The sequence below is a fragment of the Homo sapiens genome, chromosome 1, assembly GCF_000001405.40.
Source record: "Homo sapiens chromosome 1, GRCh38.p14 Primary Assembly".
Taxonomy (NCBI): domain Eukaryota; kingdom Metazoa; phylum Chordata; class Mammalia; order Primates; family Hominidae; genus Homo; species Homo sapiens.
In genome coordinates this window covers 41,343,258-41,359,462 of record NC_000001.11, presented here as the reverse complement: position 1 = coordinate 41,359,462, position 16,205 = coordinate 41,343,258, and the positions used below count along the sequence as shown (strand labels likewise).

The following is a 16,205-nucleotide window of genomic DNA, read 5'->3' as shown; positions in this document are numbered from 1 at the left end:
TGCTGGGAGGATCCTTAGCTGGGGGCCCTGGCACAGGCTGCCAACATGGGTCTGGGAAGCCAGGTTGGCAGAGATGCACTAGAGGCTGACTCAGGCCCCTGCCCTGCCCGGTGTCCACAGCTGCTGCCTGGACTCTCCTCTGAGGCCCATGTCTGGTACACTCAGCTCCTACACACACACACACACACACACACACACACATTCAAACTCACACCCAATGGCACACACTCACATTCTTCTCACTCACAACTTGGCCCCTGCTCACACATTCATTTTGAGGCAGTATAACATAGTGATTAAGAGCATGGGCAAGATACATAACTGCTCAAAGCCACTCTTTCCTACTCTACAAATGACTACCATAATAGCACTACCTTCACAGGATATTTGAAAAATTAAATACATTTATGAATGTGAGCACCAGGCTCAGAATAAGCGCGCAATAAATGCTAGCTGTTTTTATTGCTGCTTTTGTGTGTACATACCTTCCCTTCCTACTTTGCCCAGCTCATACAGTCCCACCTGCTCTTACCATGCACACACTCACAGCCGCTCACACATGTAGGCTCACTCACAAGCACACTCGCCACGTGCCTCACGCTTGTGTCTCAATTACACAGACCCATGGTTTCTACCTACAGTTCCCTTGACCACCAGCTCTCACCCTTCCCCGCTCCCCCAGGCTGGCTCTCAAGCTCCCATCCACCCTCCCTACCACGCCCACATTCATTTCTGTTCACAAACAAGCCCCCACTTGCTTCCCCTTTCATTCCTCGTTTTTCCACATGCAGGCACATATTCTTCACTCACACCTCCCTGGACACTGGAACATGCTCGCATTCCAGTGCACGCGCACTCACTTGCCCACAGGCAGGTGGATGTGCGCGTTACCCACTCAACTCGTGCTTGGATCACAAAACTTGTACACATACACTCAAACAATCCCAGCGCATGCCTCAATACCTCAGCTGACTCGCCCACTCCCAGTGAGGAGCACACACCACACAATTCTCCCAACACACACTGCCATCGGCAGACACCCCCCACCCGGGGCTAAGGTGGCACTCCCCTCGCCCTCAAGAGACTGTCTCCTCCCTGTCACTTCCCCTCCTCCAGTCTCAGCTCCCCAGCCCCTCCCAGCGCTCAGAATAGCCCCTGCCACCACTGCTGCTGCCACCGCTGAGCCATCAGGGCCCGCCAGAGCCTGCTTCCCAGTGCTTGCTGCCAGCTTTCCCGGCTCACTCAGGGCAAGTGAGGACAGGAGGACGCGCTTCTCTGAGGCTTGATGGGCATAGCTGCGCTGCATCCCCAGAGCCCACCTGGAAAAAGTCAGCCATCCTGGGATTGGCTGCTGCCACTTGCTCAGGACCTGTGTGCCCTGGTCCTCATACCCCCGGCTGAAAGCAGAGAGGGCTGCCTCTCAGAGAAACCCAGGTCTGGGAAGGAAGAGGTTTGCTCAAGGAAGTGCAGTGAGTTGGGAACAGAGCCAGACCACAATCAACCCAATCATTCCTAGCCCATCATGCAGGAGCTTGAGAAGACCCTCCCCTAAACCACATGGTTATCAAGAACCCCCACCCTGCCAGCACTGAGCAGAGCCTGGCTGATATTTAATGCCACCGTTGCCAGGAAAAAGGAATAGCACAGAGATGATGTCTGGGGACACCTCTGGAGGGGAGGGGAAGGGGCTGGTGACCAGAGGAGGCCTCCAGGGGCAGAAAGGGGGAGTGTCTGCAGAAGCCAGAGGGGATATCAGGACAGCTGGGAGCGCCTCCAGGACAGGCTCAGGCCTGGCCCCTGCAGGGACAGTGACAGGGAGTGGGTGGGGCTGAGCTGAGGAGGCTCAGCTGAGGGGGACAGTGCAGCAATGCAGCCCCTATAAGAAGACCCAAGGCCCCTTCGGCGGCCTGCACAGACCACAGACCAGGCCTGGGCAGAGAGTTCTGCTGGCTCTGGGGAGGCAGCTTACAGCAGCGACTGCTGGGTGCCCAAGAACATGGAGCCCAGGCCCAAAGGACCTTGTACCTTCCTTGTCCAGGAGGCTGTACCACCACTGGCAGGGTAGAGAATCACTGGCATAGTGATTAAGAAATGAATGCCAAAGTGAGCTCCTCTTACAGGCCAAGCCCATTCTGCACACCATCCCATTCAATCCTATATTCTTATCCCCATAAGGTTCCCCAAGCACTCACTAAGTGCTGGCCCCTGTGGAGCACCTGACAGGCATTACCCAAAAGAATCAGACTCCTAGGAGCAAGAACTGGGCACATCTCGTTCACTGCTGTGTCTCTGGGGCCTAGAGCAGAGGCTGACACAGAGGAGACCTTCTGTAAATATCTGTTGAGTGAAGGGATGTGAAAAGAAATCACAACCACCTGAGAGGCAGAAAGTATTATTCCCATTTTCTGGATGGGGAAAGTGAGGCTGAGAGAAGGGAAGTGAGTAACTTACTTCCCTGGAACTCAAACTAGAGTCTGGGTTTGCTCCTTGCATAGCACCGCGGGGCAGGGAAAAAATGAGCTTGGGGCAAGTAACTTCCCTTTTCTAAGTCTCAGTTTCCTCATCTGGGAAATGGGAATGGCTGCACTTACATCAAGATCCCATATGTGAAGTGCCAAGCACAAAGCCCTGCAAAGAGTATGTCAAACATCACATGTCCTTCGTCCTCCTCCTCTGCCTTGGGTTTGTCCTGATAGTCTAAATTTCGGCAGGACCACACCTGGGAGCTAAGATGCCTGTATGTCACCCCCCTTCTGTACCATGGGAAGGAGGTATATTAATTTGTTAGCACTGCTGTGATAAAGTACCACAAACTGGGTGGCTTAAAACAATAGGAATTTATTGTCTCACAGTTCTGGAAGCTAGAAGTCTGAAATCAAGGTGTTGGCAGGACCACACTGTCTCTGAAGGCTCTAGGGGAGAATCCTTCCTTGCCTCTTCTAGCTTCGTGCAGTTGCCAGCAATCCTGCATGTTTCTTGTCTTGTAGACGCATCATTCGAGTCTCTGCCTCGGTCTCAACATGGTGTTCTTCCCCGCCTGTGTCTTCACATGGCAATCTCCTGTCCATCTCTGTATCTTTCCTATTCTTGTAATGACACCTACCATATTGGATTTAGGGCCCATTCCATTCTAGAATGACCTCATTTTAACTTAGCTAATTATATCTGCAGAGACTTTATTTTCAAACAAGTCTATATTCTGAGGTTCCTGGAAAGGCAAGAATTTTGGGGGGCCACTATGGAACCCATTGCAAGAGATGTAATAGAAAATGTGTAGGATTTGGAGACAGGCAGGTCCAGATTTGAATTCTGCCTCCTTCACGAAGAAGCTATTTGACTTTGGCCTTCTCTGAGTCGTCTTGTTTCTTACCCTGTAACGTGAGGACAACAACCTCGACCTCCCAGGGTTGTTGCAGGGAAAAGATAAGTGATGATTTGATGGCAGTGCCCGGCAGAATAAGACCTAGTATCTCACTGTGGCCTCACTGCCTGCCATGTCCTGCCCAAATGTCCTCTCCTCTGGATTGTCCTGTCCCCAGGGCCTCCAACAGTGGTGTGAAAACACTGGGCTGCAGTATTCTGCTACTGGCCCTGCTCTTGGCTAAGTCACTTCTTTCTGGAACTCTGTTGCCTCATCAGTCAAATGGGTGGAGGACCTAGGCAGATACTCTCGAAGCTTCCATCTGAGGGTGATGTTCACAGAGTCTTGAGACCTCCTTGCAAAATACTAGTTTGGAACTCTAAAGACACAACCATCACTATAAGAAGTCACTGAAAAGGGAGTGAGCTTTCTAGGAGAAAGCTACCCCTTCCAGCTTCCCTCCTCCCACCAGGCCCTCCCAATCCCCACCAGGCCATGGAGGCAGTGGACCTTCCCAAGTCAGTAAGCCTCCACTTGTGAGGACCCCCCAGACTTGCTGCTTCTCCCCTTGGCGGCCATAGCCCCAGCACTGGTAGGTGACTGTGGAAGGAGGTAGCTAGTACCAGCTCCATTAAGGACCCACTGTGTAGCCATGGAATGGTTACTTACCTCAGTTTCCCCATCTGCAAAATGAAGATCACATCTATCCCACTCCCCCAGAGGAGGTACAAGAATAAAAGGAGATAATGAGGTAGGGAAGGAGCTATGTGGCCTCTGAAAAATTGTAAGTATTTCTCTCTCTGGCTGACAGCTTGGCCTTGCCCTGTGTCCTCTAGATGCATGGCCAGCGTCACCACCTCCTCAACTTGACTGTTGGTCTCAGGGCCCCACCACACAGGGAACCCTGGTAGAGAGGCTGGCGCCTCCTGGTGAATTAAGATAATTAGAACAACCAGCCCTGCAGAAGTGGCTGACGGAGGGAGGGAGGAAAGGCCTCCTGTGTGCCAGGCACTGTGTTGTGTGTTCCATCTTATTTAATCCTGAAAGCCACACTCTGGAGTAGCCACAGCTATTCCCATTGCAGATGGGGAAACTGAGGCAGCACTCCTGAGGAAACTTCACAGTGCCATTGTGAGAATGATAATAATAATGACTGCTATGGTCGAAACGTTTAAGTCCGCCCCAAAATTAATATGTTAAAATCCTCACCTGCAAGGTGATGGTATTAGAAGGTGGGGCCTTTGTGTGGTGATTAAGTCTTGGGGCTGGAGCCGTTATGAATGGGATTTGTGCCTTTATAAAGAGGCCCTAGAGAGACCCCCTGCCCCTTCTGTCATGTGAGGTTGGACCAAAAAGTCAAAGTCTATGAACCAGAATACAGGCCCTCACCAGACACTGAATCTGCCAGCACCTGGATCTTGGACTTTCCAGGCTCCAGAAAGGTGAGAGGCACATTTCTGTTGATTATAAGCTACCCAGTTATAGCAGCCCACGTGACTAAGACAATGACGAGAAAATAATGTATCAAAGCACTTACTAAGTGCACCCTTTATGCAAAGTGAGTCCCTGGCTCTCACTTGATCCTAAATTAATCCTAGAGCCTGGGATTATTTTAGAAGGGACAGCAGAGGCTCAGAGAAGTAAAATAAATTTCCCCAGGTCACAGAGCCAGAACCTCAGCCCATATTTTCCAGCCCCGAAGCCAACGCTTTCATGGCTACAGCTGCTTTCTCTCACCTGGTTGCTGCCTGCACAGGTGGGTGTTGCCAAATAAGTGGGGCACAGACTTCCCAGGCCAAATGGAGCAGACAGGTTGGCAGAGAGGGGGCATGCCCTCTTCTCCCCTTTGTGTTGTGTGAAACATGCTTAGCCCACACCCTTAACTTCTACTTTTAATTACTGCAATTTAATATTTGGGTTAGAGTAAGTGAGGACAAGCCAAAAATGTGGTCCCCACCAATGCTGTCATCCTACCCTTTGTAAACTCTCATCAACCAGCCGATAGTCCCTCAGCTGGTCTGACCGCCCTGGGACCTGGTTCCGGCCCCAGGCTGCTTTGCAGTCACTTCTCTGCTGCTCCTCTGGGTGCTAGGCATGGCCTGAGCAGGGCCCCACCACTATGACCACAACTCTTACCCGCAGGGCCCAGGCCAGCCACGTGTGCCGCCCACATTCTCTCTGCAGCTGCCGTTCAGAGGCCCTCTCACCCAGTAGAAAGACCTCATGCCGTGCGTGCTTATCCTAGGCCTACCTGCCTAACATGCTTTTCCTGAACCTTCATTTTTATCTCCTGATCTCCTGGCCTCTGTCCCTTAACATGGAGAGTGCAGGAATTGAGCCCAAAAGGCTTGGGTTAGAATCCCGGCTGTAACTTGGTGACCTTGGACATTTCATTTCCCTGAGCCTCAGTTCCTTAGCAGTAAGACAACACTGGCGTTGGCAGCAACAGCACAGGACTATTGTGAGGATGATAATAATAATAATAATAATAATGACAGGCTGGATGTGGTGGCTTATGCCTGTAATCCCAGCACTTTGGGAGGCCGAGGTAGGTGGATCACTTGAGGTCAGGAGTTCGAGACCAGCCTGGCCAACATGCTCACGCCTATAATCCCAGCACTTTGGGAGCTCGAGGTGGTGGGATCACTTGAGCCCAGGAACTCCAGACAAGCCTGGGCAATGTCCCTACAAAAAAATCAAAAACTTAGCCAGACACAGTGGCCAGTGCCTGTGGTCTAGCTACTCAGAAGGCTGAGGTGGGCCGGGCACGGTGGCTCACGCCTGCACTTTAGGTGAATCCCTGTCTCTACTAAAAATACAAAAATTAGCCAGGCTGGTGGTGGGCGCCAGTAATCCCAGCTACTTGGGAGGCTGAAGCAGGAGAATCACTTGAACCTGGGAGGCAGAGGTTGCAGTGAGCTGAGATTGTGCCGGTGCACTCCAGCCTGGGTGACAGCGAGACTCTATCTCAAAAAAAAAAAAAAAAGAGACAAAAGAAAATAACAATAATATTTCTCAAGAACATATTAAGTACAGCCTCTGTGCTAAGTGATTCCATGGCTCTCACTTGATCCTTCATCAATCAGGAGAGGTTGGCATTATTTTACTGTCATCCCCATTTCACAGATGAAAAGGGGGAAACAGAAGTTCCTGGCACATAGTAGGCACTTGACAAGTGCTGATTGTTTCTATGGCTTTTGGTTTTTCAACCATCTAAATTCATAAATTAAACCAACTATTCTCAAGCTGAGCTAGAGTACACAGCAGTTGTTCCTACCTGTGGCATCTGTAGGTGTCTGGCTTGCTCAGTGACTCTAGCTTGGCAAACGGATTGCCCAGGCTGGCTCCTTGTTCTGAGATATCTCATCCAAAGATCTCATCCATCCAAACTCATAAAGAGCCTATGCTGGGGTCAGGAGATGTGGGCCCCTGGGCCAACTTGACCAGTGTTTTACTTAACTCCTCCGAGCCTCAGTTTCCTCTATTTATGTTGCAGAGAAGAGTAGTAGGAGTGGCACATAATAGGTGCTTCTAAACTTTTGGCTCCACAACCTCTCCATATGCCTTAGTCATTTGCATGAGATATAATTAAAGACCAATTCAAAACACTGACCAGCCAAACACAAAAGGGAGCCATTAACACAGTGAACAAATCAATAGAGAGGGGGTGGGTGAGCAAGCGCTCTCCTGATGTCACTGGATGGGCCCTCCGTCCCCACATTGCAATGTGTGCAGATATGCTACCTTCTTGCCTGCTGGGAAGCACAGAGTTAAATCTTGTATCAAACACAGGAACTATTCTAAGTGTAGGTTTGTAGTTCATTCTCTTTTCCCGTTGTATTACAAAGTTCTTACTTCTTTTCCTTACTTAATGGTTGTATTTTTATTGTATGTGTCATTTTATAAAAATCAGAATCTACCCAAATCCCTTTTTATGGAAGTAGAGGCATAAATGATGAGGGAGGAAAAGTAGTACAGATACAGGAAGTCAATCCACATACAGGGTGAGACAGAACTCAGGCAGCTTTCTCACATCCCTGACCAACGCCTTTGAAAGTCAGCTTGTCTGTCACCTCTTCTAAGAAGCCTCCTTGGATCACTTTGGATGATGCCTTAGGTTTCTCCAGAGAAACAGAGCCAACTGGAGATAGATTAAACAGATTGATTGATGAATAGATAGATAGATAGATGATAGATAGATAGATAGATAGATAGATAGATAGATAGATAGATAGATAATGAGGAAACTGGCTCACACAATTATGGAGACTGAGAAGTTATGGAGGCTAAAAAGTTCCACAGTCTGCCCTTGCAAGCTGGAGGTCCAGGAGAGCCAGTGATATTGTTTCCAGCCCAACCCCAAGTGCCTGAGAACCAGGGGAACTGCTGGTATAAATGCCAGTCCAAGGGCAGGAGAAGACCGATGTCCCAGCTCAAGCAGCAGGCAGGCAGGAAGGAGACAAATCCTCTCCTTCCCTCCTCTTTGTTCTAATCAGGCCTGCAACAGTTTGGATGATGCCCACCTACATTCGGGAGCTCAATCTACTTTACCGAGTCCACTAACTCAGAGGCTAATCTCATCTGGAAACACCCTCACAGACACGCCCAGAAATAACATCTCATCTGGGCACCCCTTGGCCCAGTCAAGCTAACACATACGAGAAACCATCACAAATGTATCAGTCAGTCTTCCTATGTTCCTGGTGTATGCTTCTTGTTCCCATTCTCTGCTGTAATTTTCTGTTTCCAGGCCTGTTTATAGTCTGTGAGTTTCTCTAGCCAGGGTCTTTGCCTTGCTCATTCCTCTGTCAGGCCCAGTGCAGGACCTGAATGGGAGATGGGAGGGAACAGGGAAAGGGAATATAAGAGGCTTCACAGAGGTGAAACATTTGAGCTAGGTCTTCCAGTAATTTCCTGAGCACCTATTATATGCTGGGCATGAAGTATCCAAGAATAAGAATGCCATATCATTAAAAAAATGTATGTAGGCCAGGCACAGTGGCTCACACCTGTAATCCCAGCACTTTGGGAAGCTGGGGCAGGTGGATCCCTTGAGCTCAGGAGTTCGAGACCAGCATGGGCAACATGGCAAAACCCTGTCTCTACAAAAAATACAAAAATTAGCCAGGCTTGGTGGTGCGCACGTGTGGTCCCAGCTACTTGGAAGGCTGAAGTGGGAGGATCACTTGAGCCTAGCAGGTCACGATTGCAGTGAGCCACTGCACACTCCATGCTGGGCAACAGAGCGAGACCCTGTCTCAAAAAAAAAAAAAAGAGTACATAAAGGGCCTCCCGTAGTGACAGGCACATGATAGGAACTCAGGAAGTGACAGCCATAGTTGTAATAGGAAAACACTGAAGGTCATCTGAAGGAGATTGTGCTGTTGGCACAATTACACAGAGAAAAACTACGCAGCCCTCAAAAGTAATAAAGTAGACTTCTATGGACTAACACAGAAAGGTGGTTCTGAGACAACACTCAGGAAGAAAGGAAGTGATGGAAAAGTCACAGTGCCTATTGCATGCTAGGTAACATGTGTCATATGATTACATGACTGTAAATACTACACATGTGCATTATATTTGCACATATATATGCACACATATAGACATTTCTGGAAGGATTCCCCAAATCTGTTAAGAGTAGTTAGTTCCAATCAAGAGTGATATTGTGGATTGAGGAAAGCCTCCCCTTTTACTTTATATAGTTTTATATTGTTGAATATTTTTATAATAAATTTAAAAATACTGAAGGGAAAAAGAAGAGTTGCTAGAGAAGGCATGTACTTGAGTGAATAATTAATGAATGAGTGCCCCAACCAGAGCCTCGGTGAAAAGTCCAGTGACTTGGTGCCAAGTGTGTGGTCCAGCAGCCTGGCCTTGTGACTTCCACCGCCCCAGGACAGGCCTGATGAGTGCAAGGGATAGGAAGACATGGAGTCTGATGGAAAGGGCCTTGGAGAAGGTCCCAGGGTCCCACAGAAATCAGAGGTAGGGGAATTGGCCTCCCCTGAGAAGGGATGTGACTTGGGACCCCTGTGGAGCCACAGGGGTGGCCAGAGCTGCCTGAAGGTCAGCCGTATGTACTCAGGAGGTTGGTCCTCTGCCAGAGCTGGGCCCTGATGGAGTCATGAAGACAGCACCCAATGCTGTGAGATAAAGAGGGAGCCTTGGACATCACTGAGCCAATGCCCCTCCTCCGTGTGGGGAGGGGGTCAGGCACATGGGCAGGGGCAGAATTCAGGAATCGTGATTTGGAGTAGCTGATTTCCCAGGCTCCCGCATGGCTCCCCAGCAGGGAGAGCAAGAGTCTTAGAGAGAGAGACAGGTGGTTTCGGAGCTTGACACCCACGCTGTGAGACCCTAGGGCCTCAACTGCCTCCTCAGGAAAATGGAAGCAATAATGCCTCTCTTGAGGGTAATTGTGAGAGCTGGATTAGGTACGAAGGTGGCCAAAGGAAGTCTCTAACTGAAGTAGGACTTAATCCATGGTGTTAAGATGGGCATGAGGGGTGTCTTTAGGAGGGGGTGGGAATTCATGGATAGGGACAGGGTAGCTGGGACTTTGGACTCTGGTCTTTAGGTCTCATGCATTATATACCTCAGAGAGTGAAATCTACACTCAACCCCGGCAGTGAAGAACTTGGTCTGGAGTCAGTCTCCAATGCAAATTCCATTCCCTCACTTCTAATCATATGGCCTCTCCAGGCATGAGATCCTTCATCATAAAAATGGGGATAATAGTAGTTTCTACCTCACAGGCTTGTTATGGGAATTAAATGAATAAATGCTTGTAAATTACCTAGTACAGTGCCTGACACTATTAGGGGTTGTAAGGCAAAGAGGCTCAAATCTTTTCCACCTGAGAGAAAAAGACCCAGAGTTCCCAGTGGACCTCAGGCTGTGGCTTGGAGAAGAGATTGTCAGAAGGAGGAGGTGTCTGGCTTTGGCAACCACAGTGTGGAGTGGTGAAGAGAGCAAAAGCCTAAAAGTCAGACAGATTCAAGCAAAATACCAGCATCTCTACTTTCCAGCTGTCCTTCTCTAAGCCTCAGTTTCCCTAACTAAAAAAGTTGATTTTTGTGCCTGTTCCTGCTCTACCAGATATATTAAAGTGGAACTCTAGGCTGGGCATAGTGGCTCATACCTGTAATCCCAGTGCTTCAGGAGGCTGAGACAGGCAGATCGCTTGAGCTCAGGAGTTTGAGACCAGCCTGAGCAACATGGCAAAACCCTGTCTCTACAAAAATTAGCTGAGCATGGTGGCACACACCTGTGGTCCCAACTACTCAGGAAGCTGAAGTGGGAGGATCTCCTGAGCCTAGAAGGTCGAGGTTGCAGTGAGCCATAATTGTGCCACTGCACTTCAGCCTGGGCAACAGAGTGAGACCCTGTTTCAATAAAAAATTAAAAAATAATAAAGTAAAACTCCAGATACCACGTCATCCAAACCTCCCCCCTTCCACTTTATTTGCCATAGCTCCTCATTTCTGACCACAGTCTTGTGGGAGGAGTGAGCACTGGGCTTGGAGTCTCAAAGACTCACCTTCCAATCCCAGGGCATCCCCTGTCACCTGTGGGATTTTGAACAAATCTCTGCACTTGACAGAATCTCCATTTCCAGGCCTGGGATAATGGTGGAGAATTCCTCCTTCTTCACAGGGCTGGTGGGAGTGACAAGTGAGGCCCTATGCGTGAACGTGTCTTGCCCAGTGTCTGCACAACGCTCGTCTTAGGGTAAATGTTCATTGTGACTTTTTCTTCACAAGACTTATTTTTTTTTGGATGCCTACATTTTACAGTCAGTTTAAGAATAACTTAGTTTTACTCTCCTTGACCAAATGAACTCCCTGAAACTTAATGTGGAAAGCATACATACTCTGAGCCTGACAGGCCTGGTTTAGATCCTGGCTCTAGCTCTGTGTCCTTGGCAAAGTCACTTTGCCTCTCTGAGCCCTAATTTTCTTAGCTATAAGGTAGCATTGATAATATCTACTTCAGCCAGGCACAGTGGCTCACGCCTGTAATCCCAGAAATTTGGGAGGCTGAGGCGGGTGGATCACTTGAGGTCAGGAGTTCAAGACCAGCCTGGCCAACATGGTGAAACCCTGTCTCTACTAAAACTACAAAAAAAATCAGCCAGGCATGGTGGCAAGTGCCTGTAGTCCCAGCTACTTGGCAGGCTGAGGCATGAGAATCTCTTGAACCCGGGAGGCAGAGATTGCAGTGAGCCGAGATCATGCCACTGCACTCCAGTCTGGGGGGACAGAGCAAGACTCTGTCTCAAAAAAAAAAAAAAAAAAAAAAACCTACTTCACAGGATTGTCGTGAGGATGACAGTGACAATAGTGGTAATAGTAACAGGGGAAGAGCTGAGAACTGGCTTCACGACCACTATCGGGGTGGGACAGCTCTGAAGTGACAGACCAGACACCTGGGTAGGTAGAACAGTTTTCATCTAGCAGATCACCACCTGAAAAAACACCCTGAAAACTGCTATCACCTGCCTGAGGGTGTTACTTGAGGGAGGAGTGGCAGAGAGGAAGGGCAGGTTTAGTGGCTGCATGCCTCATATTGGGTTCCTGTGTAACTCTCTGCACATTGCCTGTCTTCACCAACAGCAGCTGCCTCCTGAGGCAGAGTCTCAGTTCAGCTGGGAAAGATCTTTGGATGAGATATCTCAGAACAAGAAGCCAGCCTGGGTGATTCATTTACCAAGCTAGAGTCACTGAGCAAGCTGGACACCCAGAGATGTCCCAGGTAGGAACAGCTGCTGTGTACGGTTGGTGGGAACATAAATTAGTTCAACCATTGTGGAAGACGGTGTGGTGATTCCTCAAAGATCTAGGACCAGAAATACCATTTGACCCATCAATCCCATTACGGGGTGTATACCCGAAGGAATAGAAATCGTTCTATTACAAAGATGCATGCACGCATATGTTCATTGCAGCACTATTTACAGCAGCAAAGACATTAGAATCAACCCAAATGCCCATCAGTGATAGACTGGATAAAGAAAATGTGGTACATATACACCATGGAATACTATGCAGCCATAAAAAGAAATGAGATCATGTCCTTGGCAGGGACGTGGATGGAGCTGGAAGTCATTATCCTCAGCAAACTAACACAGGAACAGAAAACCAAACACCGCATGTTCTCACTTGTAAGTGGGAGCTGAACAATGAGAACACATGGACACAGGGAGGGAAACAACACACACTGGGGCCTGTCGGTGGGTGGATTGGAGGAGGGAGAGCATCAGGAAGAATAGCTAATGCGGGCTTAATACATAGATAGGTGCAGCAGACCACCATGGTACACGTTTACCTGTGTAACAAACCTGCACATCCTGCACATGTACCCCAGAACCAAAAATAAAAATTAAAAAAAAAAAACAGACCCAGAAAAAAAAAAAGAGAATAGTGGATTTAATTTATGAATTTAGATAGTTGGGAAACAAAAAGCCATAGAAAGAACCAGCACTTGTCAAGTGCCTACCATGTGCCAGGAACTTCTGTTTCCCTCTTTTCATCTGTGAAATGAGGATGACAATCAAATAATGCCAACCTCTCCGGATTGATTAAGGATCAAGTGAGAGCCATGGAATCACTTAGCACAGAGGCTGCATTTTGTAAGCCCTTGAGAAATATTAGCCGGTATTATTATAAGGCATGGGGCAGAGGGAAGGGGTGGTTACTGAGACAGAGATCACAAGAAGGGGTGGATGCTTCAGAGGAAGATGATGGATTCAGTTTGGGGGAGCTGAGTTTGTGTGCCAGTGGGTCAGCCAGGGAAGAAGTCCATTTGGCAGGCAGTTGATATGGTAGTGGTCATGAGGCCACAGTCTGGAACTCTGAGCAAAGGTCTGGACAGGAGGTGTAAACTTGGAAGTCCTTGGCACAGAGGTGGTGAAACCATGGCTGGTGGGGAGTGAAGACCCCAAGGGTGATGCTGGAGCAGAATATGAAAAGAACAGAGAGCCAAAGGGGGCTGCTGAAGAACACCAAGATGTTAGGGGGAGCAAAACCAGGGCAGACTGGAAGCTTCTGGGAAGGAGCAGCCAGTAAGCTCAGAAAGAGTGAACTCATGAGAACCAGAAGAGAGTGGTTAAAGAAGGAACTAGTAAATAGCACATATGTCATGGAAAGGTCAAGAAATCAAAGGCCTAAAAGCATATGCTACAGTACATGCTTTCTCAGGCCAGTGCAGGCCAAAAAGTGAGGCAGTGACTGCCCTGAGTATATACTACCAGCGCCCAGCCAAGCAAGGCCAACCTGTAAAGCTCACGTAAGAACTGTGAGTCAGCCAGGGGCCCTCAAAATGGAACCTCAAGGCTCTCGAAAGGCAATGTAGAGGAAGAGAGGGGCTGAACCTCTCTGTATGAGACCGTGAAACCCTGGCAGGCCTCTAAATAGCTCTGAGACAGTTTCCTAATCTGCAAAAAGGAGATAATATCCAAACTTTATATCAGGGTTGCATAAGAATTGGATGACATCATAAGATACCCAGTATACAATGGGCACTCAAAGGTTAGTGTTCTCCACTATTTTAATATAAAAATATTGATCCCTAATGATGGTCCTGAATCACCAAGAAAAAGTTACATTCAGGTCAGTTACCCTTCTTTTGGAAACACAGGGAAGGGTATAATGGACTTTAGAAGGATTCACAGTAGGCCGGGCGCAGTGGCTCACGCCTGTAATCCCAGCACTTTGGGAGGCCGAGGCCGGCGGATCACGAGGTCAGGAGATTGAGACCATCCTGGCTAACACGGTGAAACCCCGTCTCTACTAAAAATACCAAAAATTAGCCGGGCATGGTGCCAGGCGCCTGTAGTCCCAGCTCCTCAGGAGGCTGAGGCAGGAGAACTGTGTGAACCCGGGAGGTGGAGCTTGCAGTGAGCCAAGATCGCACCACTGCACTCCAGTCTGGGTGACAGAGTCAGACTGTCTCAAAAAAAAAAAAAAGAAAGAAAAAGAAAAAGAAAAGACAGATTCACAGTAGAAGTCACATCTGTCTTATTTTCGAAGACGGTTTGTCTTGGTGATGGGGTATCCCCAGCATGACCACCAAGCTCCCCTTCAGCACCATGATTTAGTGGCTTTTCCTGGAAGGAAGTGGGCATCTGCCAATTAGCTCCCTGTTCAGAAGTGATGGGGTGCTTTCCCGGCTAGTCTAGAAAGACCCAGATGGCTGGGGAATGAGAGGAAAGCCATGCAGAGCTCACAGAGGAGCCCCAGAGAGGGTTCAGGTTAGGAGAGTAAGGCTAAGTTGTTCTTAAAATGACTGGTAAAGATTCAGTCACAGTTAACATTTACCCCAAGTACTGAGCGAGGCACGGTCACATATCACATATCACACAGTCTCAGTTGTCATTCTCACCAACCTCAGGAGGAAGGTGGAATTCTCCTCTATCTCACACATGGACACGGAGATTCTGTCAAGTGAAGTGATGTTCTCAAAGTCACACAGGTGGCTCTTGGACGGGAACGAGTGCCTGTGGTCAGGAAGGAGAAGTAAGCTGGATGTGAGGAGTTGGGGAGGAAGCCAATGAGGGAGGAAGCTGTGGGCAATGTGATGTCTGGGTTTCACTCTAATACATTCTAGCAGAACAGTACCAGGCACAGGGAGGGGCTGGGACCTGGCCTCACAACCACCACCATGAAGGGACGGCTCTGCAAGTGACAGACCAGACACCTGGGCAGGCAGAGGCGTTTTCATCCAGCAGGAGCCCGCCACCTGCAGACACGTATCAAAACACTGCCATCACTGTCCTTAGTCTACGACTTAGGGAAAGAGTCATGACAAGGAAGGGAAGAGGTTTGAGGGCTGCATGCCTAAAACTGAGCCCACTGGTATCCATGGTGGCCAGGAGGGCAGAAGCAACCAACACACCAGCTATGAGTCCACAAGGCCCTGGAGGAAGTCTCAGGGTCAAGTGGGAATGAAACAGAGATAAGAAAACCTAAAACAGTGGGCTTTCCAAGAAACATGTAACACAGCACATGGGGAGCGCCCCGGGGGGTTCCTGGCACCGAGCAGGCGCTGCTTTCTTCTTCCCACCTCGTGATTGTCAGATGAGGATGCTGAGGCCTGGAAAGGAAGAGCGACATCACATACATAGTGAACTAATGATGAAACCAAGACTGGGGTCGCGATTGCCTACCACCCAGAGGCCCCAGCCCTTAGGCACTTGATGACTCCTTCCTCCTGAACCAGAGTGATGTGTCAGCTACAACACCACAGCAGTTCAGATCATGTTAACAAAGGTAGAGTCTGGACGGCACTGCTCAGCACTGGAGCCACTAATTCCGTGGAGTTCCCGAGCACCTGAAACGTGGCTAGTCCAAATGAGATGTTCTGTTAAGTATAAAAACACACCGGATTTGAACATTTTGTATGAAAAAAGGTTTCAAGTATCTCATGAATGATTTTTTGATACTGATTACATGCTGAAATAACATTTTGACTACATTTGGTTAAGTGAAAATATTTTTTAAGTTAATGTTACCTATTTCTTTTTACTTTTTAAAAAAGATGGGTGCTTATTTATTATTTATTTATTGAGATGGTATTTCACCCTGTTGCCCAGGCTGGAGTGCAGTGGCACAATCATAGCTCACTGCAGCCTTGAACTACTGGGCTCCAGCAATCCTCCCACCCCAGCCTCCCAAAGCACTGGGATTATAGGCGCATGCCACCATGCCCAGCTCCTTTTATTAAGGCAGCCACTAGAAAATTTAAAATTATACCCATGGCTCACATTATATTATCACTGGATAGCACAGGTCTTGACGTAGTAGGAGATGGGGCTGCCCTATCGTGTTCAGAGGACTGA

The 16,205-nt window shown here is 48.6% G+C and overlaps 1 annotated feature.

The window, feature by feature from the left end:
* Positions 14,944–15,003: an enhancer, noted in NCBI's record as "active region_862". NCBI's record gives its function as "activates an Ori minimal core promoter by ATAC-STARR-seq in GM12878 lymphoblastoid cells {active_cell/tissue: GM12878}" and the evidence as "EXISTENCE:reporter gene assay evidence [ECO:0000049][PMID:35858748]".